The 27,565-nt window shown below is 42.8% G+C and overlaps 1 annotated feature.

Moving 5' to 3' along the window:
• Nucleotides 21,958–22,130: a silencer, noted in NCBI's record as "fragment chr6:40017247-40017419 (GRCh37/hg19 assembly coordinates)". NCBI's record gives its function as "represses an EF-1alpha promoter that drives an FKBP-Casp9 reporter gene in an ReSE screen in phorbol 12-myristate 13-acetate-treated (for megakaryocytic differentiation) K562 erythroleukemia cells {active_cell/tissue: K562(+PMA)}" and the evidence as "EXISTENCE:reporter gene assay evidence [ECO:0000049][PMID:32094911]".

Consider the following 27,565-nt stretch of genomic DNA (forward strand, 5'->3'; position numbering starts at 1 on the left):
CTGGTATGCAATTCTAGCCTAGAAGAGCCAGCCACCCACTATAACCCACGAAAGCTGTGGCATGGGCTGTACCTAGCAAAGTCATGAGGGTGGTGCCACTGAAGGCCTTGAGGGTCCAACTTCCACCTTAGTGGGTCTAGAGGTGGGACATCAAGTCAGAGAAAGATTCTGGAGCCTTAAGATTTGTTGTTTGCCCTGTTGAGCTTTGGACTTGCTTGGGCCCCAATACCTTTTTCTTCCCTATTTCCTTATTTTAAAATGGAAATGTCTATCCTCTCTCCATCCCTCCAGTGTGTTTTGGGTGCATATAACATGTTTGATTTCATAGGTCACAGCTGGAGAGCAATGTGCTCTAAGATGAATCATTCCTTGAGTCTCATCCATATCTGATTTAGATAATATTAGATGAGACTTTGAACTTCAACTTTGAAGTTGATACTGGAATGAGTTAAGAATTTTGGCACTATTGAGATGAATGAATACCTAATGTGAGAAGGATAAGTTTTAGAGGTCCAGGGATGGGATACTATCATCTGTTTTCCCCAAATTTGTATGTTGACACCCAATCACCAATGTGATATTAGAAGGTAGAGCCATTTGGGAGATGATTAGGTCATGAGGATAGAGCCTTCATGAATGGGATTAATGCTCTTATAAAAGAGACCCCAGAGATCTACCTTTCCATTTCCATCATGTGAGGATATAGTGAGAAGGCATCATCTATGAACTAGGAAGTAGTCCCCTACCATTATCTTGATCTTGTACATCTCAGCCTCAAGAACTGTGAGAAATACATTTATAAGCCATTCTGCCTATGATATTCTGGTACAGCAGTTTGAACACGTTGATTCCTATGTATTTGCCCCTGAAAACAACAAGTTAGAGATGATACCCAAAGGAACAGGCATTCACTCATGGTCTTATGGTTCTATAGGATCTGAGTCTCCTTGGCAGCCTTGAGTCAGAAATAGCTCACTTACAACAGTAAGATGGGAAGGGAGTAGAGGAGAGAACTGAATACATAAGGGTTAGACTTCTAGATAATAGAATTTCCCCCGCCTGATGATTTAACAACTCCAATACTCCAGGGGGCAGTAACTCTGGAGGAGGTTGGTTAATTATTGCCAGGCTGAGGAATCAAGTTTCCCCAAGACCCCAGTTTTCTGGGCTGCATTTCATACCAATTAAAAATCTAATCCAATGGGACCCCTTACCCAGCAAGTTAACTTCATGGACTTTGGTGAACTGATGCTTTTAATAGACTTGTATTTTGGTGGACTCTGCCACAGCTGTAACTCCTCCTCAATCAAGTCAGCAAGACCAGATCTAGGGAACAAGGGCCACTGGCACAAGGTGGGACAGAGCAGTGAGGGTGGAGAAAAGTAGGGAGTTAGAAAAAGCACTTTGGGGGATCATTCATTTTTTTGACCAACTATTTATGGTTAGCAGCAACTGACTGGGAGTCAGTTATTCTATAAGATTTCATTCAGTTAATTGGGTTTTAAATGCCAGACACTGGGGATAGATTTTTCAGGAGCTAGGAGTTTATAGGGGAAAAACCTCTGGTACCTCCACATACCCTCAAATACACATATTCATGCCCTAGACTATGCCTCATTTCTCCATTTTACAGTTGTACCTATGAACTAAAGCCTTATGTCTAGAATGTTTTGGTTAATCACTTGCCCCTCCCAGGAACGTTTCTACTTTAAGTTATGATCCAGTCATAGAACCCAGGTAGAGAGCTGGAATAAGAGACAAATGGGGCTAATGGAGACAAACCACCATAATGTGTTGAGAGTCATATGGCATTTAAGAAATGGCTTGGGTGATACACTAGTTAGGATTTGACTCCTGCTTCTAAACATAAAACAGATACTTTGACAGAAGTGCCACAATGGACAAAATTCTAAGATGCACTATTTTCTTGGCTTATGATTTCTAATGTAATTTTAACAAGTATTTATGGTATAGCTGTGACACCAGCACTGTGGGGGTGGAAGAGGGTATACAGAAGGAATAGAAACTCTGGCTAAAAAACCACCATTTCTAGTCTGAAGGATGGCCCTATAAAATTTAGACTATTTGGTTGCCTTAATTTCAGATGGAGCCATTTCTAGAAATTATTTCAGGGTTTAAGCCCATGCAGACATCAGGAGTTAGGGTTGATAAGACTGGGGTAGCTCATGGAATTCCAGATGTCAGACTAAGTAGCTTTAACACTGGCCCCTATTTTCTGAATCAAAAAATCAGGGACCTAGGGTTTGAAGTAGTATGTTCACTCCTACTACAACTTCAGTCCATTCTGTTATAAAACTGATTCAGGCACAAAAGCAGCTCTGACCACCAACCACCTCATTGGGGATAAGATTATGATGGAGACTATCCAGCTGTCCCTCATTTGGTGGTGGGGAGGGAGTTGGAGGTTTTAGATAAGTCTGTATATAAGGCATCTAGTAAATTACCCAAAGATGATCTTGGAGAAAAGACATTGGAACATCTTCATCCTTGCAAATAGAAAAAATGGTAGCTCGAGTGCCTTGAGCTTCCTGGAGCTAGGCAAAGACAGCTTTTTGCTGTAGGCTGGTAACACTGTAAATACAAAATGACAGGCTATGACAGAAAAAAAATAATGAAAAACTGACCCTAATTAATTTTATACAGTCATTCAGGTGTGTGGTGAATATTCCTATTGTGATGGTTAATATTAAGTGTCAACTTGCTAGAAGGATGCAAAGTATTGTTTCTGGGTGTGTCTGTGAGGGTGCCAGAGGAGATTTACATTTGAGTCAGTGGACTGAGAGAGGCAGACCCACCCTCAGGTCTTGGTGGGCCCCAATCAGCTGCCAGCACTGCTAGAAAAAGCAGGTGGAAGAAGATGGAATGAGTTGACTTGCTGAGTCTTCTGGCCTTCATCTTTCTCCCATGCTGGATGATTCCTTCCCTCGAACATCAGACTCCAGGTTCTTTGGCTTTTGGACTTACACCAGTGGTTTGCCAGGGAGTCTCGGGCCTTCGACTACAGACTGAAGGCTGCACTGTTGGCTTCCCTGTTTTTGATGTTTCAGGACTTGGAGTGAGCCACTACAGGCTTCCTTGTTCAACTTGCAGATGGCCTGTCCCTGGGACTTCACCTTGTCATTGTGTGAGTAGATTCTCCTTAATAAACTCCCTTTCATATATGCATATATCCTATTAGTTGTGTCTCTCTGGAGAACCCTGACTAATACACCTATTTTGTGCTAGACTGCCTCCCTCCAACCTCCCTGAATGTTCTGTTCCTTGAATTCACCCTTCTCTTCCTTCACAAACAAGGCAGCCTGTGAAGGAAGAGAGCATGGTTTTAACAAATATTTATGGTATAGCAGTGTGGTGGTCCATCCTAGGGGTGGGAAGGCTGAGAGGAAAACAGCATAAATAGGAAGATGAGAGAATCCCCCCTGAACCTTCTCAATAAAATTTGCTGCCCATTCCACTCAGCAGCTTCCATAATAGTTCACTGGGCCAGGCATTTTCCACGAGCTCTGCCTTATGCTCCAAAGGTCAGAACTGTAATTGCTTCTTCCCTCTAAGGACCCTGACATTTACAGAGCCCAACTATGAGCTCAAGCTCACCTCCAGCAGCCAAGATGGCTCCCAGGAGTCCCTCCATTCAAACATGCATTTTCTGAGCACAAACATGGATCACATTTATCAAAACATCTTGCTTGTCACTAGGGACTAAAGATGAGAGTACTGCCCTTGAGGGAGCTTATAGTCTTACATTGAAGTTTGCCACCTCGGCCTGCTTTCTGGTTCTCTTTTCTATCAAAATTTGGCCATTCCCACTAGGTTCCACAAAGATTCACCACAGCTCTACTGAAATGGGACATATGAGGGCATCGATGCTAAAGATTCACCTTGTGCCCCAAGAATTATCTGTATTCCTTTCTAGGGCAAAACAGTAAACTCCTTGTCCCCATATATAATTCACTCTCAGGTCCCCAAGGTATACCTTCAGCAAAGTTGATCTTCTTCCTTTCTTCCCATGACAATTATTGCTGTGAAGTTATTTAAGTTGGGGATGAATTACAAACACAGAAGTCACAGGAGTCTAATAATCTAGGCAAAGAACTAAGGGAGACGTCCTAAGGGGCTCTAAATTTAAGGAATCCTATCACACCCTTAGCACCTCCCGTCTGTGCCACGTATCTCCACCTTGGCATCTGCCTTGCTCCTTTCCTATCCACGATGACACCTCAAGTGCCACCTCTTATTAAAGGTCCCATCCAACTCAGAGGGAGGAGGTGGAGCGGTACTTCCATGTACCAATAAACAGAAAGCTAATAGGATTGATACAAAAGTGATGCCACTGGATGTAATTTAATACAGTAGCAGCAATTGGTAAATGATATTTACCTATAAAAAACTGGTCACCATTTTCAAATTAAAAATTCAGAGTTTCCCATGTGAACATCACTCATGACTCTCCTCTGCTCCTTCTTACCAGCTCAGTTCCACTGAACTGCCATGTGTCTGGCATCAGTGGTTATACACAGAGGGAGGAGCCCTGTGTAACAGGCCTATCACATTACCTGGGGGACAAGCACCTTCCCGCCTCCACCAAAACAATGACATTCTAAATACACTTGGGTTATCTGCAGTATATTCATGGAAGGAAATATGAGGGTCAGGGGATGTAGAGAATCTGTCAACACTATGAAATCTCAGCCAGGCCCAGATTGAAGTGGCAGTGAGCCATCCTAGGTTTTTCCGCCTGAATTTCAACCTGAGCCCTTCTCAGAAATTGTGATTTTGCTACTCAAGGAGTTTTACTTCTATTAAGATAGGAGCGATTAACATGCCTTCTGAATTTGAATCAAGAGATCAAATTAGTTTGTGGACAGAGATAATGAACTTAGTCAATATTAATAAAGAAAGTAAACTGCAGAAATGGGTATCTTATATATGAAAATGTCAGTAGCCGTAAGATATTGATAAGAACCTCTATGCAAAGATGTAGTTCTCAGTTTCCCTCAAATCTTCCCAATAGGTTGTATCCTCCCTTGTAGGGGCATGGGGAAATCATTGCATAAAAGTAGGCATATTTTGTTCAAGTTGATATTTGGATAAAGTAAAAGTAGGCAGGGTTTTGCTAAACTTTGAGACAGGATCTTACCATGTTGCCCAGGCTGGACTTGAACTCCTGCACTTAAAGGATCCTCCCGCCTGAGCCTCCCAAGTAGCTAGGACTACAGTCATGTGTCACTGTGCCTGGCAAATCTTGTGGTGTTTCACTTGGTTGTATTTTTTTTTTTTTAGTTTTGAGAAAGCATCTTGCTATGTTGATCAGGATGGTCTCAAACTCCTGGGCTCAAGTGGTCTTCCCATCTCAGCCTCTGGAATAGCTGGGATTACAGGCCTGCACCACCACATGATGCCAAGAACTTTGCTAAGCCTTTAACCAAGAACACCTCTCCCCACCGATCCTGTGGGTAGAGGGAAAGGCAGGACTGTCTGGTAACAAGAAAACTCTCCTCAAATGGGCAGTGGCAGACATCCACACAGCAGCTCCCCCTCAAATGGACTTCTCAGGGACACAGATGCCAGACTCATCTTAAGAATCTAGAAAAGTCAATTTATCTAAGACTAAGAGGTGGGTATTTCAGGATAAGTTGATTAAGAATACCTTGCTCCCTGCAGCAATATGTGCCCTGGTTCTGGGACTTGAGTCTTCAACAAATAGCCAAATGGACCCTTGGCAGGTTTCCTTGGAACAGGTCCCCAGTCCCAAATCCCATGACCCCACTATGGCACGGTTTGAGGGCTGCACTGCTCCTCCTTGAGATCTTTGGAGACAAAGTATAGGTGTGCATACAGAGAAGGGGGCCTGGTATTCAACAATCTATAATAGGGCTCAAAAGGGATTGACACAGCCAGGGACTTAGTTTATGTTTCCTCAAAGGATTCAATGCAGGTTTATTTGGGAGATACAGAGGAACTGGTAGGGACATAGGAAGTGATACAGAGAAGGGAAGGAGGCCAAAAAAGCTACAGAAAGGAAGGGCAACAGGAACTTACTTCCTTTTGGAGACCCTAGGTACTGGTGCAGAGTTAATGTCTCAGAATTATCTCTCCCAGGTCGGGTGTGTGTGTAAGAGGAAGTTGGGGTACTTATGTTCTTGCCAGTTACTGGTTGAGGGCAGCTCTAAGGTAATGTCAATTGCCTTATAATTTCAGAAAAAAGCTATCAGATGCAAATGCTGGCAAAAGTCAGCCCTGAGTACTCTAAAGGTCCAAGGAAAATAGGAGGGTCACTAACAGATTCTGTGTAGCCAGTTATATATACATACACACATATATACATATGTACACACATATACATATATACATATATACACATATACATACATATATACACATATATACACATACACACATATATACATATATATACACACACATGCACACACACGCACACACACACGTATACATCCAGAAGAGTCGCAAAAGCAGGGCTGGTAAAGGCAAGGTCAAGGCCTACGGCAAAAATAGAGGTCTATAGGACTTGCATAGGTCCTTTAACTCTCCCCCATACTTAGTCAATGATCCAAGAAATTCTTCTGAGAACATAACTCATTTTATAATTAGTAATTGGAAAATTGATTCACTAGTCACGTTAATAAAAACAAATCCATTCCTCTCATGAATCCTCCAACGTGAGAATCATCCTGTGATGCAGGTTAAATAGCAAGCCTTCTCCTGGTGCATTTACAGTGATTTAATCTGCGTAGGTTCAAGAACTTGTCTAGGGTGGGCATGGCTATGTGCAGAACCTCAATTTGTAATAAATTTCCTGGAATGTAATTTGTATTTTTCTTAGATTTGAAGGAGGTCAAAACATTTTTCATACCTATTATCCTACCTCACTACTAATGAAAGTCCCTGATTGGGCAGTGAGATACAACAAGGTTTTAACAGAAGAGATTTGGAAAAAAAAACTGAGTTTTTGGTCAGAATAAGGTTCACCCAAAGTCTAGTGGGTCTGAAAAACAAGATTTTCAGATCCCTCACAGGATTTGCACATCCCTCACAGGGTTTGAGGTGACCTTAGAACCTTCTTATCTGACTACCCATCCAAGACTGTCTCAAAACCCTTTACAGCAGCCCAGCCAAGCAATGATCCTGCAGCAGCTGTTGCTCAGTACAGGAGAGTCTGGTGACTCCTGGGGCATCCACTATTATTCAGACAGTACTTCGAATGTCCAGTGTGTCTCCCTTTAACTTCTAGTTCCTGGGCCATATAGTCCAACTTATATCCCTCTTCTGCCATATCTTAATCCATTTTCTGTAACTAACAGAATACTTAAGGTTAGAATGGGATGACAGTGACTACCACTTGGTGACCATGTACTGTGTGCTAGACATTCTAACAACATTGTACTTTAGTCCTCTTAGCACCCTTAGGAAATAGTTGTGAATCCCCATTTTATATATCAAAAAGCTGATGATTGGAGCGGAAATCATGAAAGTTGCCCAAATGCTCTTAGCTTGTAAGTAGTTAGGCTAAATTCTAACCCAAGATTGACTTGAAGGCAATATGATGGCTTCCACGACCATCCAGCTTCTTCCGAAAGCTTCAATTTCTTAAGCTCTTTCTTATAAGCCCCTTTTCCTGCCAGCTTACATTTCTCCCTCAATCCCATCTATCTCTGTCTTGCTTAATGTACTTCACCTCCAGAAGTCTTTCTTGGACTATATCCTATCTAGAATCATCATCTGGAATGTTACGCTTATCCAACTACCTTTGAAAGTATTAGCCTGCCTCCCATATTGACTCTGAAATTCTCTATCATAAAAGACCATTATCTCCCAACACATTTCTGTTGCTCTCACCCTGGGATAGGATGTTAATTTCAGCACCAAGACAATAATTTTGTCAGACTCCAAGCAAGTAAGCAACATTAGATCAGCATCTGTCAAAATAAAGTTAGCATGTACTGTGAATTGACTGATACAGTGAAATCAAGATTCCCACAGTTCAGTAATTCAGTCAAGGTACATTATATTCCAGATACTTCCTGTGCCACTTCCTGGCTTATAATGTATTGTGTTCTGAAATTCCATGGAATGCCTGTTCCTAAGGGCCAACATCAGATTTGGCATTGCCATCCATGGAAAACTGATAGATTTGGCAGACAGTTGTCCTCAGGCTTGGGCACCCAAAGGACCTTGCTTGAACCCATTAATATCTTGAATCCAAGAGGGCCATCATATGTGCCATGTCTTAATCCATTTTCTGTAACTAACAGAATACTTAAGGTTAGAATAATTTATAAAGAAAATTCTTATACAATTCTGGAGCTGAGAAGTCTAAAGCTGAGGGGCTGCATCTGGCAAAGGTCTTTCTTCATCATCCCGTAGCAGAAGGCATCACATGGTGAAAGGGCTTGTGAGAGAAGGCCAAACTGGCTTATGACAGACCCACTCATGACCCATTCCCCTCAAGAACCCAATCCATTAATCCGTGAATGGATTAATCTATTCATGAGGGCTGAGACCTCACAACTCAGTCACCTCCCAGAGGTCCCAACTCCCAACACTGCCACATTGGACCATGGCATACCACCAGTTCCAGCTACTTGCCCCAGTGAGGTGAGTAAGCCTCTGCCTCCACCCCATTCAGGCTCCTCAGGGAGCAGGACACTCGCAGGGGCTCTTTCCTCATTTTCCACTCTTGTTTGATCCACTGAATCACCTGTAGGGCAGCACTCTTGACCATACTGTTCATAGCAGAAGGCCAAGGAGTGGTGATTATTATGCCCACACTAGGGGCAAAGGCAGAGATTTCCATCTAATCATTCCATTCCGATGACTCAGGATTCATGTTAAATGAGCTCTTGGGGATTTCTTATTAGTCTCAGTCAGGATATCAAGAATGTGGCATTCCCATCTTAATAGATGAAAATTGGGCAGAATCATGCTGCTTTCAAACCACAAAGTCATACAGCAAGTAAGCAGCCAAGTGAGCCATTGGAATCAGCTATCTAAGCCAGATCGATGGCTTCCTCAGGCCACCTCAAGTCTGAGTGTCCAGTGTCTTAAATTGGGTTTTGACAGAGGAGACCCAAGCTCAAGATTTGAGCAAGTTATTTAGAGGGGAGCCAAGGAAAGGGAGGGAAGAAGTGAGACAAAGGGAAGATAGTCAACAATTGGTGTGTTAGCAAGCTTATTACCACCAAGGGTAACTGGAGCACACCTTTACAGGGGAATTCTGAGAGCCAGTACAGGACACAGAGTTGTTGCCATGGAAGGAAGAGGCAGCTGGGGTATTCATACATCAGCTCCTGTAAGTCATCGGCTGAGGACTTCTCTCAGTGGTGTTAGTTCCCTAGCCTTCTGGCTGGCCATGTGCTAGATTTCAATAGCTAGAGAAAGCTCTCAGGTGAAGAGTCATAGATGCTAGTCAGTAGTTGAGCTAGGGGGCACTGAAGTGGTAAGAACGAGTGGATGTGGGCAGGCCACCAACACTGTCTTACTTAAATGAGTTTCTCACCCATAATGCCAAAACTGATAAACATGTTGTGATGCACTTCAAATAGGTGTTAAGATATCCACGCTTCAGAGCTTTGGAATCTCCAATCAGGTGGGATCCTGAGACTCTGGCCCTAATATCTGTGGGGACAGGCTTAGCTCAGTCCTGAGGTGGCATCTACAGATGTGTATTCACCAAGGTAGAGCATCTGCTACAAATATGGGGGCCAAGAAGCTTTTTTTCCCTCTGGAGTTGATTCTCAGCATGAGTCTATGTCAAGGTTTGGCAAACTACAGAAAGTGCCAAACCTTAAGTATTCAGGATGTGAGGGCCAAGTGGTCTGTCAACTAGTTAATTCTTCTGTTGTAGCTTGCCCCAGCTGCCATAAACAAACAACACTGGGCAAACCAGGATGGGTTGGTCATCTGAGCTAGGAGTGTGTGAATCAGCCACTGTGGAAGCAGATGATCCAGTCCCAGTCAAGCCTGCAGATGAAACTCCTCAGATACCCTGTGTCCCAGATGCCCAACCCACAGAAACCATCAGGTCATAAATGTTTAAGACACTAAGTTTTAGGGTAATTTGTTATGCAGCAATAGATAAATAAAAGCACATAAGAGACCAGCCTTTTAGCCAGCTCTTGGGAATGAGCTTTGATAGGGATACAAACACTTGAAGAGGAAGCTAAAACTCTGTACCCATGTGTCCCACTTGCTCCAGATAAACTCTCTATCTTTCCCCACTCTACCTTGGAAGGCTGAGCTGTGTGAATGGCATCAATTGGGCTCCCTGCCCTGTCTCCTGGCTGTTTTCAGTTCATGGGGAAACTGGAAAGAATAGCAGGGAAGGGCAGGAGGGTCACCTCCAGCTGAGTGTACCCTTGGCAAAAAGTCACTGTTCCACTCAAGGCTGTATTTTCTTCTGAACTGGCTCCCTGGGTTCTGGTGACCTCCCCAGCTGGACACCCCCAATACCTTTGGGCTCAGGTGTGGTAACAACTTCATTGATGTTTTTGATCATTCTTTGTGCTTCCTGCTATGGTCTGAATATTTGTGTTCTTCCAAATTCATGTTGAAATCCTAAACACTCAAGGCAGTGTTATGTGGTGAAGCCTTTGGGAAGTGATTAGGTCATGGGAGTAAAGTTATCATGAATGGGATTAGTGCCTTTATAAAAGAGACCCCAGAGAGCTCCCTCACCCCTTCTGTCAATTGAAGACACAGCAAAAGGTGTCATCTATGAAGCAAGTCCTCACCAGATACCAGATATGCCAGACCATTGATCTTGGACCTCCCAGCTTCCAGGACTGTGTGAAATAGACCTCTGTTTATAAGCCACATAGTTAATGGTATTGTTATAGAAGCTCAGATGGACTAAGACAGTTCTTCTATGACCCACAGCTTCAAAGTTAGCTCTTTTGGAAGTCAACATTTTTTTAATGATTCAAATTTGACTGAGCCATCAGTTCCCTATCAGGGCCCCTTTGACAGATCCCAAGAGCTGAGTGACTGCGGAGCTCCGCCAGCCTCAGTGTCAGCAGCATCCCTTGGCAGACAGCTCCCTCTAGCCCCTCCAGAGGCAGGGGGATTTGGAAGTTGGTCCCAACTTAACTGATAGTTGCCTCTAGGAATGGAAAAAATAGCCCTAGAAGCAGCATTTTAGGCCATTCAATGATCCCTGGCATCAATGTGCCTGAAAATAGCCTCTGCCAATGGGCTATGCCCCAAGAGTGAGTGGCATATGGTACAGCAAACTGCAGGTTTTGTGAAAGAGCCTCAGGGGCAATATCTAGGCCACAGAGGCTTGGAATCCTCAGCTAGGCAGGATCCTGATTCTCAGAGAAATCTGGCTCTGGGCTTAGAGCTCAGTCCTAGGGTTACCCAGGCACATTTCTGATTACCTTCCCAACTATAGCTGGGCAAAAGCAGGCAATGCAAGCCTCATCTTTCCAGACTGCAGCTCAAGGAGACGAGTGACATGGTGCTCAGGTAGCTGTATACCAGGTGGTTGGGGACAAAAGCAAATAGGCCCTCAGTCTCATCCTGACACACAGCGCAGCCTTGAATAAGTGCCTGCAGATCCCCATTTGCAGCTGGGGAAAGACTACGGGAGCCCCAAGATGACTGCAGCTTCTCCTGAGCTCAGTACACAGCCATTCCTTGTCTGTGGGGCTATGACAGGAAGCAGGGGGATGGTGAGAGCAGCCTGATCAGAAGGACTCAGGGTGACAGCATAATCCAGTTCCTCCAAAGCAGAAGCACCATTCAGATGATCACAGAGGGGAACACCAGGGGCCAAGAGAGGGAAAGCACTCTATTTAGGGAATGGCAGTTTTGCTGACGCTCAGGTACTAGTGTATATCTAATTATCCAGATTCTTAATGTATTTCCTGCTCTGCAATCACTAGTCCCATGCCTAAGGAGGATACCTATAGTAGGCTTATGTGTCCTCAGTCTGAGTCTGGCTGTCTTAGGGAGGAGGGGACACCAAGGATGTGCCAAGGAGGCTGAGTGTAGGTTCAAGCTGAACGTCTGAAACAAATTCAAATCGCACTTTACAGACTAACAGGAACTATTGTGATCCATCACAGAACCCCATTGTCTCATGTAGGAGTAGCTCCTATTCTACCTTATCAGGGATTCCGGGGTTGTCATTCTTTCCATCCATAGTCTGGGGTCTGTACATTGGTCAGAGAGCAGCCCCATCCTATAGGCTACCAGAGCCACAACTGGGAAAGTGTTTTAAACATGGAGATGTGCCAATCCAGATCTACCAAGAAAGGACTTGAGTTCATCTCTTCCTTGGGCAGTTTGTGCCCAGTGACAGAGGGGTAAGATGTAGAGGGCTGCTCATTTTGGCCCAAAACTGGAGGGCAGGAGTGGCTGCAGAGTTCCCCACAGGATCAGCTGAGGCTCTGTTGAGTTTGCATTATTATTCAAATTCTATTCCCCTTTCTACTTCCTCCCTGCTTTCATAGGCATTGACCTCTAATCAACACCTTGCACCCCAAAGTCTGTCCTGGAATCTCCCTGTAATGGGGAGAAACTTAACATATGGAAGAGTTGCATCCTTTAAATCCAAGAAAATCTGGATGAAATGCGGCATTACACAACAGGGCCCGAGGGGACTCAGAACAAAAGGTACAGTACTGACAACTGACTATGCCTTAAGCTTGTGTCAGTCCAACAGCTCCCTAGCTCTGGCCTGAGGAGCACAGCAGTTCCCTACCACCCCTGAGCAGAGCACCTTGGTGCAGATGGGACTGTTCCCCCCATAAAGGGCAAGGTCACCTTTCTCCTGGAACAAGTTGCATTCACCAACTTCCTGTGCTGCTAGCCAGCTCCCTTCACTGGAACCCTGTTGTGATGTACTTAGGCATGTCCTCAGGAGCCTCCTGTTGCTCTTCTCCCTGGGAGGATGCTCCAGTCACTGAACTGTTTAATCATCCCACTTAGAGCAGCATCATTTGGCACCACTGTAGAGTTTTCCTTGACAGCACTCAAGGGAGTCTCATACAGGGCCGACATGCACATAGACCACTGGAGACAGCACCAGCCATGTGCAGACAGCCTTGCACACTGCCATGTGACAGGCACGCACACCTGATAATCATAGCTCCCCAGGTTCCTACATATGTCCCCAAGTGGTCCAGGCCCTCAGACTGAAGGGCATCAGGTTAACTTCCTCTCTTCCTTTAACGAGTTAGAACAGTTGAGCACAGGGAGTGGCAGCTAAGTGTAGACTTACTGGTTATTCCGTGTTTTCCCCCTAGAGCCATCCTGTCTTGCTCTGCACACAGGAGGCTAACCTGTGTGATTGTATCACTCAGCTCTCTTGCTGTTATAGGTTGGACAGTTTGGGATGCAAGGTGTTTATTAGGTATCGACACCTGTGAAAGGAAGGGGAAGAAGCAGGATTAAGCAGAGAGAAAATAATCTGACTGCTATGCAGGCCCAGAAGAGCTTTGGCCAGCTTGGTGGAGAGCTCCAAAGCAAGTATTTTCCATTTGTTCTATGTGTGGGTGACACACCTGGGCTTTTGCCGCCACACCTCAGTCACTGGTGGCTTCATGACCTTGGGTAAGTGGCTTCCTGTACCTGGGCAGCAAGCCCGGTACATCTTGTTGGGCATCTTAGTGACACAGTTGTGTCATCTATACTTGCCCTGTGGCTTTTAGTGAACTCAGCCCCTAGAAGGCACTCAAGAGGCCAAGGATGAGGAGAACAGGATGGGGTATTATTCCCTCTGTTCCTTTCCCTATAAGGCCATCTTTGGCCGGGTTGTGCTCCTTTACCAAAAGCTTTAGTTCCTGCTTGATCTAGACCCCATGGCTGAAGCTTGTACTGGGTTCTAGCAACAGCTTCTCCTGTACACCCCCTCCAGGTCCTGGTGGCGGTAAGTGCTCCTTTTGCTATTCCGCTGGTGTTTCACCATTGTTAGTTTCCTTCACCCTGCCTCTACTTCTTTAAAGGGTCCCTTTATTAAACACTAAGCCTATTAACTATGCCATCTCTTTTCTCCGAGGACCCAATAGGACCAGTAATCGAATAATTTTGTTCTCCTTACTGGTTCTCCCCTGTCCCATATTCCTTACAATATCCAAACTTTTCTACAAGTCAGATAGGGGTTTAGGGAAAAACCTATTTTTCTACTATGAAAAGTCATGTATAAAAGACTACTTTTTTTTTTTGAAACCCTGAGAAGCTATAAGCTTCTGTTTGCATAGAGAGATGCAGTATGTAATTTGAGTCTTAGGAACAGCTCCAAAACAGATCCTAGAAACAGACCTTGAGGTGAAGATAAGTACAAATGATTAAGGAAAGATTGCCAGGAGGATCTAGTAAGGAAGTCACAAAAGCAAGACAGGGAAAAGAAAGCCAATCAAGTGGGGATATGATTTAGGCAAGGTCCCGGAGACCAGCTGCAGCCTGATCCCACAGGAGGGCCCTGCACCCAAAGTCAGAGGCATAATTTTCATTCTAGTCACTGGCCAAGGACTGTTCCAAGAAGATAAGCTCCCAGGGATGTCTGGCTTTCTCTGCCTACAGATGAGATGGTCCCATTCCTTAGGTCAGTTCTCCCAAGAAGAGGCACATATGCAGGCTATTGGAAGTAAACACACAAAGCCGGGAAGAGATGCTCAGGAAAGGTAACAAGGAATTGAGGAAGTGACAGCAAGATGGCAGAATAGAAAACACTGGCTTATTCCTCCATCATGGAAACATGAAATATACAGGTCAGAGTAGCATTGTGAGAACTCTAGAAACCAATTTAGAAGCTGCAGCAATCAAGCTTATGCTCAACCCAAGAAACCACACTCAATGATAGGAAATTACTCAGCATTTTTGCTCAACCTTGCTTTACCACATCTGTGGGTGGTTAGAAGAAAGCTGCCCAAATCCTGGCCCCTTCCTTGGCACATAAAGAATGGAACTTGCCAAGTTCTGACTTGTCTGTGAAAAACCTGAAGGATTGGTTTCTGTGTCACTTGACTGAGCACTGACAGGAGTGGCAGCATAGTTTGAATATCAGGTTGGAAGCCCCTGAAAGCAGTGGCAGGTTCTGTAGCATGAGATTCAGGGGGCTGCAGAACCATGGGCTCCTGAGAATGAGAGATTCTGGGAAGAGAGGAACAATAGAACAAAGCTCCTGAGAAGAGGTGAGGCTCTTAACATGTTTAAAGGTAAATGTGCATACAGTGAGAAACATACCACATATCAAAGCTCCTAATTATATGAAGCAAACATTGACAAAATTATAGAAATAGACAACTTCACAAGCACAAATTAACACCCTACTTCCAATAGTGGATATAACAACCAGACAGGACCAATAGGGAAATAGGTCCTGAATACCACTACCGACAAGTTGTACGCAACAGACATGTACAGAACACTCTTCTCAGCAGCATACACATTTTTTTCCAAGTACATATGGAACATTCTTCGAGATAGACCATATATTAGTCCACAAAACAAGTCTTAATAGACTTAGGAGGATTGAATTATACAAATTATCTTTTCTGATCACAATGGAATAAAACTAGAAAACAAGAAAAACTAGAAATTAGATAATACACCCTTTAATCAAAACATAAATCACAAGAGACAATAGAAAATCTTGATAAACCAAGATAGAGAATATATCAAAACCTATGGGGTGCAATGAAAGCAATGCTGAGAGGGAAATTTATAGCTGTAAACATTTAAGGCAGGTCTCAAATCAACAACGTAACTTCACAACTTAACCCAGACACGTTATGGATTAAACCTAAAAGCAAGCAGACCAAAAGAAATGAAAATTAGAGTAGAGATAGAGAAATCAAACTATGTTCTTTGCAAAGAAAATCGACAACTAGATTTAAAAGAGTTAAATAACTAAGATCAGAAATGAAAGATGAAACATTACAACAATTGACTTTACAAAAACAAAAAACATTAAGAGGATACTAGGAATAATTGTGTGCTAAAGGATTGGGTAACCTAGATGAGATGGATAAATTCCTAGAAACATACACACCAACTTATTAAGAAAGAAAATCTGAACAGGTCTATAACCAGCAAGGAGATTTAATCAGTCATTTAAAACCTCTAAACAATTAAAAGCCCAGGACCAGATGGCTTCACTGGTATGTTCTAAAACATTTAAAAATTAATAACCCTCCCAAAACATTGAAAAGGGAATACTTCTAAACATTCTATAAGGCCAACATTACCCTGACACTAAAGCAACACAAAAAACACCAGACCAGTATTAGTGATAAATATTGAGGCAAACTTATAACAAGATACTAACAATTTAACAGCACATTAGAAGGATCATACTCCATGACCAAGTGGGCTCCATTCCTGGAATTCAAGGATGATTCTGTATATGAAAGAGAAAAGTCAATGTCGTGTACCACATTAACAGAATGAAGGAGGAAAAGCAAAATTGATGTGGAGAAAGAACTTCAATTTACCTGTTCATAATTAAAGACAGTCAAACTAGGAATAGAGGGAAACTTTTTTTTTTTTAACATAAATGTCTTATATGAAAAGCCCACAGCCATCATACTCAGTTGGTGTGAAACTAGAAACTCAGATCTAAGATTGGAAAAGGCTAAAGAATGCCTTGTCTTTGCCACTTCTATTTAACATAGTACTGGATGTCTTAGAGCAATTAGGGAAGAAATAGTAACAAGGCATCCAAATTGGAAATAGTTCCCTGTTCAGACATGATCTTTCATGTAGAAAACCCTAAAGATTCCACAAAAATGCCTGTTAAACCCCATTCTAAAAGTGGGCAAAGGACATGAACAGACACTTCTCAAAAGACGACATTTTTGTGGCCAACAGGAAAATAAGCTCAACATCACTGATCATTAGAGAAATGCAAATCAAAACCACACCAGCCAGAATGGCAATTATAAAAAAAAGTCAAGAAACCACAGATGCTGGTTGGGCTGTGGAGAAATAGGAACACTTTACACTGTTGGTGGAAATGTAAATTGGTTCCACCATTGTAGAAGACAGTGTGGTGATTCCTCAAAGACCTAGAAATGAATACCATTTGACCAAGCAATCCCATTACTGGGTATATACCCAAAGGGATATAAACCATTCTATTATAAAGATACATGTATGTGTATGTTCATTGCAGCACTATTCACAATAGCAAAGACATGGAATCAACCCAGATGGCCATAAGTGATAGACCAGATAAAATGTACATGTACATTGTGAAATACTATGCAGCCATAAAAAGGAATGAAATAACGTCCTTTGCACAGACATGAATGGAGTTGGAAGCTATTATTCTCAGCAAACTAATGCAGGAGCAGACAACCAAACACTGCATGTTCTCGTTTATAAGTGGGACCTGAAAATGAACACATGGACACAGGAAAGGGAACAACACACATTGGGACCTGTTCAGGGAGCAGAGGGAGGGAGAGCACCAGGATAATTAATGCGTGTGGGGCTTATTACCTAGGTGATGGGTTGATCTGTGCAGCAAATGACCATGGCACATGTTTACCTATGCAACAAACTTGCACGTCCTGTACATGAATTCCGGAACTTAATTTTAAGTTAAAAAAAAGCCTGTTAAATAAGCAAATTTAGTTAAGTTGCAGGATGTGAAAACAAAAATAAGTTTTCCATACACCAGCAATGTTAAGAAAAGGAAAACTTATAGTCACAAAGAATATTTAAGAATAAACCTAGGAAATGAAAAACTTACACTGAAAACAAAACACTGATGAAAGACAGTGACACAAAGACATTCCATGTTTGTGGATTGGAGTGTTATTAATGGCAATACTATCCAAATTTATCTACAAATTTAATGTCACCTCCATCACAATCTCAATTTTTTTTTGTAGAAAGTTTTAACTAAATTAATATGGAATTTCAAGACACCCAGAATAGCCAGAACAATTTTGAGAAAGAACAAAGTTGGAAGTCTTATACTTCCTGACTTCAAAGTTATAAAGCTACAATAATCTAGATACTGAGATACTGCCATAAAGTCATAGACCAATAGAATAGAAGAGTACTCCAGAAGTAAATCCTATCACATTATGGTCAAGTTATTTGACAAGGATGCCAAAACCATTCAATGGGGGGAAAGAACAGCCTCTTAAAATGGTACTGAGTAAACTAGATATCCCCACGCAAAAGAAAATTTGGAACTTTACCTTATAAGGCTTATCCCATATATAAACAGTCAACTGATCAAAGACTTACATAAAACTATAGAACTTAGAAAACCAGTTTGACATTTAATTTGGCAATAGTTTCTTGGATATGACAAAAGCATAGGCCAAAGTAAAGACAGATACATTGGACTATAAAGTTACAAACGCCCCTACAAAGATCACAATGAATACAGTGAGAAGGCAACCTGTGGGATGGGAGAAAGTATTTGCAAGTCATATCTTACAGGGGCTTAATATCCAGAATATATGCCAGGTACTCTTGCAATCCAACAGCAACTAAAAAAGTGGGCAGCGGACTCATCTGAGGGATGTCTATTCAAATGGTGAAAAAGCACACAAAGAGATGCTCAACACCACTAATCATTGGGGAAATGCAAATCCAAGCCACAATGAAATACCCCCTAACACTCATTAGGAAGGCTACCATGGACAAAACCCTACAAAATAAGGGATGCTGAGGATGTGGAGAAATTGGAAGCCTTGTTGGTGGGAATATACAATAGTACAGGCACTATGAAAAAGAGTATGGTAGTTTATCAAAATTAGAATTATATGAACCAGAAATTCTACTTCTGGGTATATGCCCCAAAGAGGTGAAATCAGGGCCTCAGATGTTTGTATATCCATGTTCGTAGCAGCATTATTCTCAATAGCCAACAGGTAGAAGCAACCCAAGTGTCCCACAGATGAACAAAGTGTATACACATACAATGGAATATTGTTCAGCCTTAAAAGGAAAACCGGCTCATGTCACAACGTGAATGAGCCTTGAGGACATTACACTAGGCAAAATAAGCCCATTACAAACTGACATACTATATTATTCCACTTATGAGGTACCTACAATAGCCACATTCATAAAGATAAAATGGTTCTCACAGGAGCTGTGGGGGAAGATACAAAGGGGTATATAAGTTTCAGTTTGGGAAGATGCAGAATTCTGGAGGTTGTAAATATGAACGTACTCAATTAACTGTATTCTTAAAGTGGTTAAGATAATGCGTATTTTACCTCAATTTAAAAGAAATTGGAGGATCTAGATTGAGCACAGAATGTCCACTATACTTAGGAGAAACTTCTTGTAAAACACCTTTTAGAATAAGGTTAAGGACAAATAATCAACTGTTACCTTGGGATTCATTTGTAACACAATAATCTGCAATGGGGACTTAGCAAAGCTACTACCTCTTACCTTGGTGTGCAGAGTTTAGAGATAAGGGTGAGCTATTTGGAAGTCTCTGGACTTCTTACGATGGCACTATTGGTTCCCTAGGTTAAAAGGGGAAAGAGTCCCTGAAATAGGATTCCCCAGAGAAAGGGAATTTCGGGCTGATAGTCTGGGGTCAAAATAACATTTAATGAATGCTGGGTTCTCTTTTGAACATGAACATTGTATTTTAGAAACTGTGAACAGGGGAATTGAATTTTAGTCAGCTGTAACTTTGTCACTCCAATGTGGAATCCCATTGTAGCTTTGACTGGATTTGGATCAGTAGAACTGAAAGGCATCCAGGATAGTTTAAGAGTGCCCTGCCAGTAGAAATAACTAGCAGAAGTGGACAGGTCAAACAGGGCTAACTTTCTCCAAGGCCAAACATAGCCCCATATTTTGAGAGCCATGGGGATTATCTTCAAGAAGTAGATATTGGACATATGGAACAAAAGTGAGTATTAGAGGAAGTAATTGATAAGGCCTGTTTTACACTCATTTGAGTTATATAAGTAGCCAAAGTTCAGGACAAAGGCACTTTCAGTGGTTAGTATTCTAGTCTGTCCTGCAACAAGATGGTCAGATAACCTTAACCCCAGCACTCAAGGACACTGACCCCCTTTTTGAGTGCAGGTACCACTCCCAGCTACGTATCAAGGGTCCTACAACCCGCCTTTCTCCTTGGGTTCATTTAATTTGCTAGATGGCTCACAGAACTCAAAGAAGCACTTTTTTTTACTTTAAGTTACGGGATACATGTGCAGAAGAGAAGCACTTTACTTATGTTTACCCATTTTTTATAAACGCTATTACAAAACACACATATGAACAGCCTGATAGAAGAGACTCATTAGGCAAGGCATGTGGGAAAGGGTTGCAGGGCTTCCATGGCCTCTTCAGCATGCCACCTTCCAAGCACATCCATGTGTTCAGCTATCCAGAAGCTATGAACCTGTCCTTTTGGGCTTTATGGAAGTTTCATTACATAGGCATGATTGATTACATCTTTGACCATTGGTGATCAACTTAACTTTTAGCCTTTTCTTCTGATAACCCAAGGTTGGGGGGTGTGGCTGCAAGTCCCAACCCTCTAATCATGCTTTAGTCTTTCCAGTGACCAGCTCCCATCCTGAAGCTATCTAGGGGACACTAGTCATAATTAGCATCATCACTTCAGAAGTTTTAGGACCTGTATATTAGAAAACAGGGATAAAGACCAATTATCTAATTTATACCATACTATGTCAAGCACATAGAGCTGTCAGGTGATATTACGGCCCTAAAAAGAACATATGGAACTGCCCTCACAGGGTTGACAAGAAGCACAATCCAGGCTTTAGGTAGAATTATAGTTAGGCATTAAGGTGTGTTGGCACATTTTGACCCACTTTCCTTGCAGCTGCCAACTGAGTCACATAGCATGCTGACTACTTGCTTCTCCATCATTCCTGTACATAGGTTCTCTAATGCTAGAATAAGACTTTTGCTCAAATATTGCTTAAGTTGCTTCCAGAACCCCAAATTCCAGCAGAATATCTGGTGTCAAACAGACTGAAGACCACCTGAGAAACTGACTCAGCTCAAGGATGCAATTTCTTCATCTCCTTGTCACATGACTTAACTTCTCATTTTCAGGACAAGTCAGTGATCCCCTACACCTCAGCCTGCCATCTGTCCAGAGTCCTTAAAAGCTCTATTTCCAAACTTCTCAGGGAGGTGGATTTGAGGTTTTCTTCTCTCCCATTTGGGTGGCCCTGTGATTAAACACTGCTGCAACCCTCAATGTCTCAGTATATTGACTTGCCAGGCATCAGGCAATGAATCTGTTACAATTATGATATTTAATGGCAATCTAGCCAGGAGACCCCTTGTGGGAATCTGTCCATGGCTCGGTTTCCCTACTTGTCATTTCAGTCTGCTCAGAGACAAACTCAAGAGGTCACCTGGCTCCTGAAGACATGGACTATCTCTGAAGCCTTCCCTGCTGGCTGGGCATTGCTCAGCATTGGTGCATACACTTGTTTCCAGCAGAAATATGGTATCTGGACCTGGAAGAACCCACTTTTCCTTCTAACTTGTTTACCTCCTTGGAGGTCCTGTAGCCTCTCCAGAGGTCTTGTTGACCCTCCCTTATCACTAGGAAAAGACTTGCTGAGGGCGAGGGTGGGTGGGTGGGAGGGACTTATTCCAACCAAAAAGGGAATAGAGGATCCTCTCTGGGAGAGGTACTCTTAGACTTGTCTGGGTCTTAGTTTCAAAATCAAATTACGGAACTGACTTGTGAGACCTTATGTTTCATCATGTCTTGTTTGTATGAAAACCCCAAAGGAGTTGCTGGCGAAAGCTCAGTTGGCCTGACTTGGAACCTGTTCTGTCTTACTACTTGCAGTTAGTGAGTCCCAGAGTAGTCAGCAGCTTGGTAGCCTAACTCAGGGTGGCCATCTGCTCTATCACACTGAGTGACCATTTGCTAGATTACTGGCTGGGGGTCATGTCTCCCCCACATTGTATGGATCGATAGTGTCAGGTACTAGCTGGGGCAAGTGTGAGCCTTGCCAGGTTGAACTCGGGCATTGAGCAGAGCAGCTTGTGTTTGTTGTGTGTACAGTGGAGTTTTGTCTTGGTTGATATGGAAAACGCTAATTTGATTCCCCCCAAAGCAGTCCATTGGGCTGTCTCCTCCAAAATCGGGTTTCTTACCTACAAACACATAGAAAGTGATTTTCTTTATAATACAGCCCGGCCCCAGTACTCATTAGAATACAGGGAAAGAGGCCAGAAAATGTTTTCCTTAATTATAATGCCATCTTGTAGTTACACCTGTTGTGTAAGAAAGAAAAATTGAATGAAATTCCTTATGTACAATGTTTTGTGTTGCTTTGACAAAAGCTGTTACAGAAAAATGCAAAATCATGGTACAATGGAATGTTAATGCAAACAATTTTGTATTAGTGGAATCACAGGAGAAGGATGACAATACTTTGCTAGTTCAGTTGAATGAGCCATTGATTTCACCTCCCCAACTTCATGGGAGAGATGTGACCATGCCACAAGCACTTGAATCAGACTCCCTGCCTTCAAAAGGGCAGGAACCTGGAGCTACAGCAATGGTTTCCCTTGTTGCTACTGTCAGAGAACCAAATTTGGCCAGGGCACCACTTTAGCTCTAGCAGGGCAATTCCCCCATTAATAGCTCCCCATGGAGGGACCGATGCTGACACAGGGCAATCCATAGGGCTTGTTTGGGTCTATTCCTCATTATCTACTTCTGGCTTAATCGGAAAAATGACTTGCCCACCTATTGGGATGATCAAAAATGAAAAATTTCCCCTTTATCTTTGCAACTTATAACCGCACCAGGGTCAGTGTCTAAAGCTTGTTAAACACACTTAATGTCTGAGGAACAGAAAATGGTCTTAGAAAAGGCTAGAGAAGAGGTAGATCCCCCCAGTATGCTGATTCCCCCAGTAACCCAGTGTGGGCAGCTGCCCAGGTCACAGTGCCCACAGCCAACCCTAAGTAGAATGTTAACACTGGAGGTAGGGATAAGCTTGGGCATTATTGTGCTCATGATTTCACTCTGGCCAGACACCGTAAAGGAATACCAAAGCAGAGAAGCCTTGAGTTTCAAGAAGTACAACAAGAACCCAGGTAGAGCCCCTCAGAAATCCTGGAACACTTTTTTTTAAGCACTTAGGCAATATAGTGGTATTGACACTAAGGCACCAGAAAATTAAGATAATATACATGATGTTTATTAGCAAAAGTGCCTCTGATATTCAGAGGAAGGCACAAAAAGGAACATTGACCATGTCTTTGTCCCAATTGGTGAAGATTGTTTTCAAGGTATTCATCAGCAAAGATCAATGTCAGAACAATGAAAAAATGCAACAGCAAGCCACCATGCTGATAGCTGCTCTGACTCAAGGAAACTCTAGACCACCCTGAGGGTACTCCCCAGGAATTCCACTTAAGGTAGAGCCTCCCTGGGCCCCATGATCCCCACAAAAAGAAATACCCCACTGGGGGTCCTAACCAGTGGGTATATTGCAGACAGGAGGGTCCATTGGGAAAAAGATTACCTATACCTCAAAAGGGCCAATATGGGGGTGGGGGGTGGGGGCTAGGGGGTTAAGAGGGGAATCAGTCTCCTGTTCAACAGATGCCCAAAATAGCTGAAGGGTCTAGAGGGCTGAAGATTTTGAGGATTAGAAATGACAGTACAAGGTCTCCCTCCAACACAACTAATACACTCCATATTTCCCACATGGAACCTTGGGTCACTATGACCATGGAAAATCAACTTTTGGACTTTCTAGTAGATACTGGTGTCACCTATTTGGTATTAAGTACATGCATATCCAAACTGTTGTCAGAAACTATGAAAGTGACTAGGGCCTCAGGGGAGACCCTGAAGACAATTCCTCCAACCCCTGGATCAACTGGGACAAGTCCAGTTAGAAACAGCTTATATGTGCCTGAATGACCCATTTTGAGACATTATCTCTTGACTAAACTGAATGCAAAGGTTACATTTTCGCTGGGTTGGCTGAGTATCAGAATGCTCACAGGACAAGCTTGCACCTTGCGAGCTTCGTTGTTATAAGCAGCTTAAAAGCCTGTGCCTATTTCTGAAGAATTTCCATAAGAGATGAATCCTGATACATGGGCAGATGGGAGGCCAGGGAGGGCCAACTCCACAACCTTAGTATAGGTAAAGGTGTACACAGGGATGGTACCACTCAATCTGAAACACCTTTTGAGAGAACAAGCGTGATGAACTATTCACCATTTGCTCTCCACTTTCCTACAGGTCAGGTTGAACTTATATGGGGACTGGCAAAGTCTAATAACCTATCCCCCCAGTTCAGAGACTCTGGACCAAAGAATATACGTTTGTTCAGGATTTGAGAGTCATTCATCAAGTTATAGAAGGCATTTATCCAGTGGTCTCCAGCCTTATACATTACTCACAACCTTAATTGGTGAGCTTTGCTGGTTTATCATCTTAGATATGAAAGATGCTTTCGTTTGCATTCCAAGTCCAGAATCCAAAGAATCATTTGGAAGGAAGATCCACATAACTAAGGAGAAAACAACAATATTGTCATTTGTCATCCAGGGCTTTATGAACTCCAACCACTATTGGGGAAGTTTTCCCTAAGGACCTCCAGGGTTAGCAATTAAAAGATGGGGCTCTGCTCCAATATGTTCATGACATTAGTTACTAGCACAACCAGAGAGGCTTCCAATCCAAACACCATACTGAAATTTTCTGGCTAAATGGGGTTTATAAGACATCCAAGAAAAAGGTTCAAATCTCAGCCCTTGGTTAGATATCTTAGATTTAACTCTCAAGGACAGAAAAACCTGCTCCCTGACTGAAGGGAAGCTGTTTGACCTATTTTGTACCTGAAAGGCAAAGTTGGTTTAGGACTGCTGATGTAGGACATGGGGAGCACCAAGAGGCTAGTTGCTTACTTTTCAAAAGCAGTTGGACATCACCAAGGGATGACCATCTTGCCTTTTGGCAGTTGTTGTCACCTGTGATCTACTTTGGGGACCCTGGGCCAGCTTACCACGGTGTATACCCTTTACTGTGTACTTTTATTGGAACAGAAAGGAGGCTATTGGCTGACCTCTGGAAGGCTAGGCTATACTTCAGGATGACCCAAATGTGATCTTAAGAGCTGTTTCTACCTTAAGCCCTGCTACTTTACTGCCGCAGATAGCATCTGAACCTACAGGTGACTGTTTGCAAATTATGGAACAAGTTTATTTGAGCCAACCATATTTGGCCAACATACCCCTTGGAAGTTCAATTGAGATATGTTCACAGATGGAAGCTTCATGGACCAGGGACAGCAGAAAGCTGTATATGCTGCAATAACACATTGGCCAGTTTTAGAAGCTGAAATACTTCCTCATGGGAAATAAGGATGGAAAGACAAACTTGAGGCAGGATGGGTAGTCAAGGAGGTAACCATGTCCTTGGGACATGTTACAGGCTACTGTACAGTTAACACAATAAGCCCCAGCATTCACATTGTAGTCAAGCTTATTCAAGCACAGCTATCTCCAGTAGGCAATTTCCCCTGTAGAGAACATGCATTTTTACCTGTCCTCAGACTGGCCCTTTGCTCATTTTAATAGTAAAAAAACACACCCCTGGGTGGATATTTAAGATGCTAATGCGACATATGTTTTGAACAAGCAGGTACCACTACTGCACATGTGCAAAGAACCACCCAGAACATGCTTACCAATAGCTCTTCCCACCCCCTTATGAATAATCATGTAAGACTCCCATAAAGGGAGTCTCTAGTGCCAGTCTTTGCTGTCTCATCCTTATGAGCACCCTACCCTGAATCTCAGGGTATACTATCTGTTCTGCACCTAATTTTCAACATATTCTTTCTCCTTTGCAATAAATTACTCTATGTTGCATTTCCTTTGCTGTATGACTTGTTTAGATTCTCATAAACTAAGAACCACCAAGGTTTCACAGCAGCCATCAAACTCATCACCCTGACCTGGGTGCTTCAGCTGGATGAACACCCATGAGCCACAGTCTACACTGATTCAAGATTAGCCTTTTCTGTGGTTCATGCTCATGGAGCCATTTGGAAAGAAAGGGGATTTTTAACCTCTGATAACAAATTAAACATGCTAAGAATTTTAAACTCTGTTGAAGGCAGCCCTGGTCCTAAAGAAGTAGCAATAGTTCATTGCCTTGGGCATCTGTTGACAGTTTGGTGGCAAAAGACAATTGGGCACACAAGGCTGCAAAGGCAGCAGCAAGAGAAAAGGTCCAAAACTTTATTAATGCCTGAAATAGACCTTGAATCACCTATATACTGTATTTGAATGATCTGAAAAGAGCACTTGACTGGGGTTGACCCCAATCAACAAACCTAGGACAGATAGATATATAAAAGAGAATAGTCCTGGACAACTCACAGATGGCATTGGACATTCATGACATCATATGACTGGGATGTCACTCTCCAATGGATTCAGAAATATCTTAGCCCACATATGAATATGGCTGTTCAAAGTGTATTTGTGCCTGAAACAACTTCAAAACTAGTCCTCTACTCTTGATGCAAGGAGTCCAGGTGTGAGATGAAAGGCCAACTGAAGATTAGCAGGTTGACTTCACCATGATGCTAAGGGTCATGGGAAACTATCTGCTTATGTTTATAGACACTTTCAGGATGGATTGAAACATTCCCTTGTGAAAAAAAGTTATTAAGGCTTACTCAAAGTTGTTCCTCAGTTTGGCCTGCCCATTTCTACTCTAACAGTGGTGCTGCCTTTGTGGCCAAGGTAACTTAGGATGTTTATGAAGACCTTGGCGCAACTTGGAAACTACACTGCTTGAAGGCCACGGTACAGAGGAAACACTAAAAAGATGAGTCATACCTTGAAAAAGGCTAAGATTTGTCAGGAATCAACCTGACCTGGAATAAGGCTTTGCCTATTGCCCTGATCAGAGTAAGAGTGGTCCCTACAATTGGGTCCAAACAGAGCCCTTTTGAAATCTTACATGGGAGAAACTTCCCATGCTTCTCCTCTAAACTGAAATGCCACAAAAGCATAGGTGTAAAAGAGCTAGACACTGTCAGGTATGTGCAATCCTTAGGTTTGACTGCCATAAGTCTTCTAGCAGGTTGTTTAGAAACCAGCACCCTGATAATCAACTGAAGCCCTAATAGAATGGACCATATGAAGTGCTGCTGGTGACTTGCTCCTCCATGAAATGTGTGGGAATTAAGGCTTGAGTCTACCACAGCTGTGTAGAGCTTGTCCCATCTGACCCACATTCAGAGCTGAGTCATCCAAAGGCTGCTAAACACTACCTAATGGATGAGCAAAAGCCTGATTGACCTCAAGTTTTTCTAAGAAAAACAACCAACTAGATAATACCAGACTTCAGAGCCTAAGCTTTCCATCTGTTTTCTGCTAATGAATAGCCTAACCTCTTATACCTTGATTATACTGTTTTTGGATTCATTACTATTATCCTATGTAAGAAGTTAGGTGAGGGGGCCAAGATGGCTGACTAGAAACAGCTACAGTATGTGGCTCTCACAGAGAGGAACAAAAGGGGCAAGTAAATATGGCATCTTCAACTGAA

Source organism: Homo sapiens, chromosome 6 (assembly GCF_000001405.40).
Source record: "Homo sapiens chromosome 6, GRCh38.p14 Primary Assembly".
NCBI lineage: Eukaryota > Metazoa > Chordata > Mammalia > Primates > Hominidae > Homo > Homo sapiens.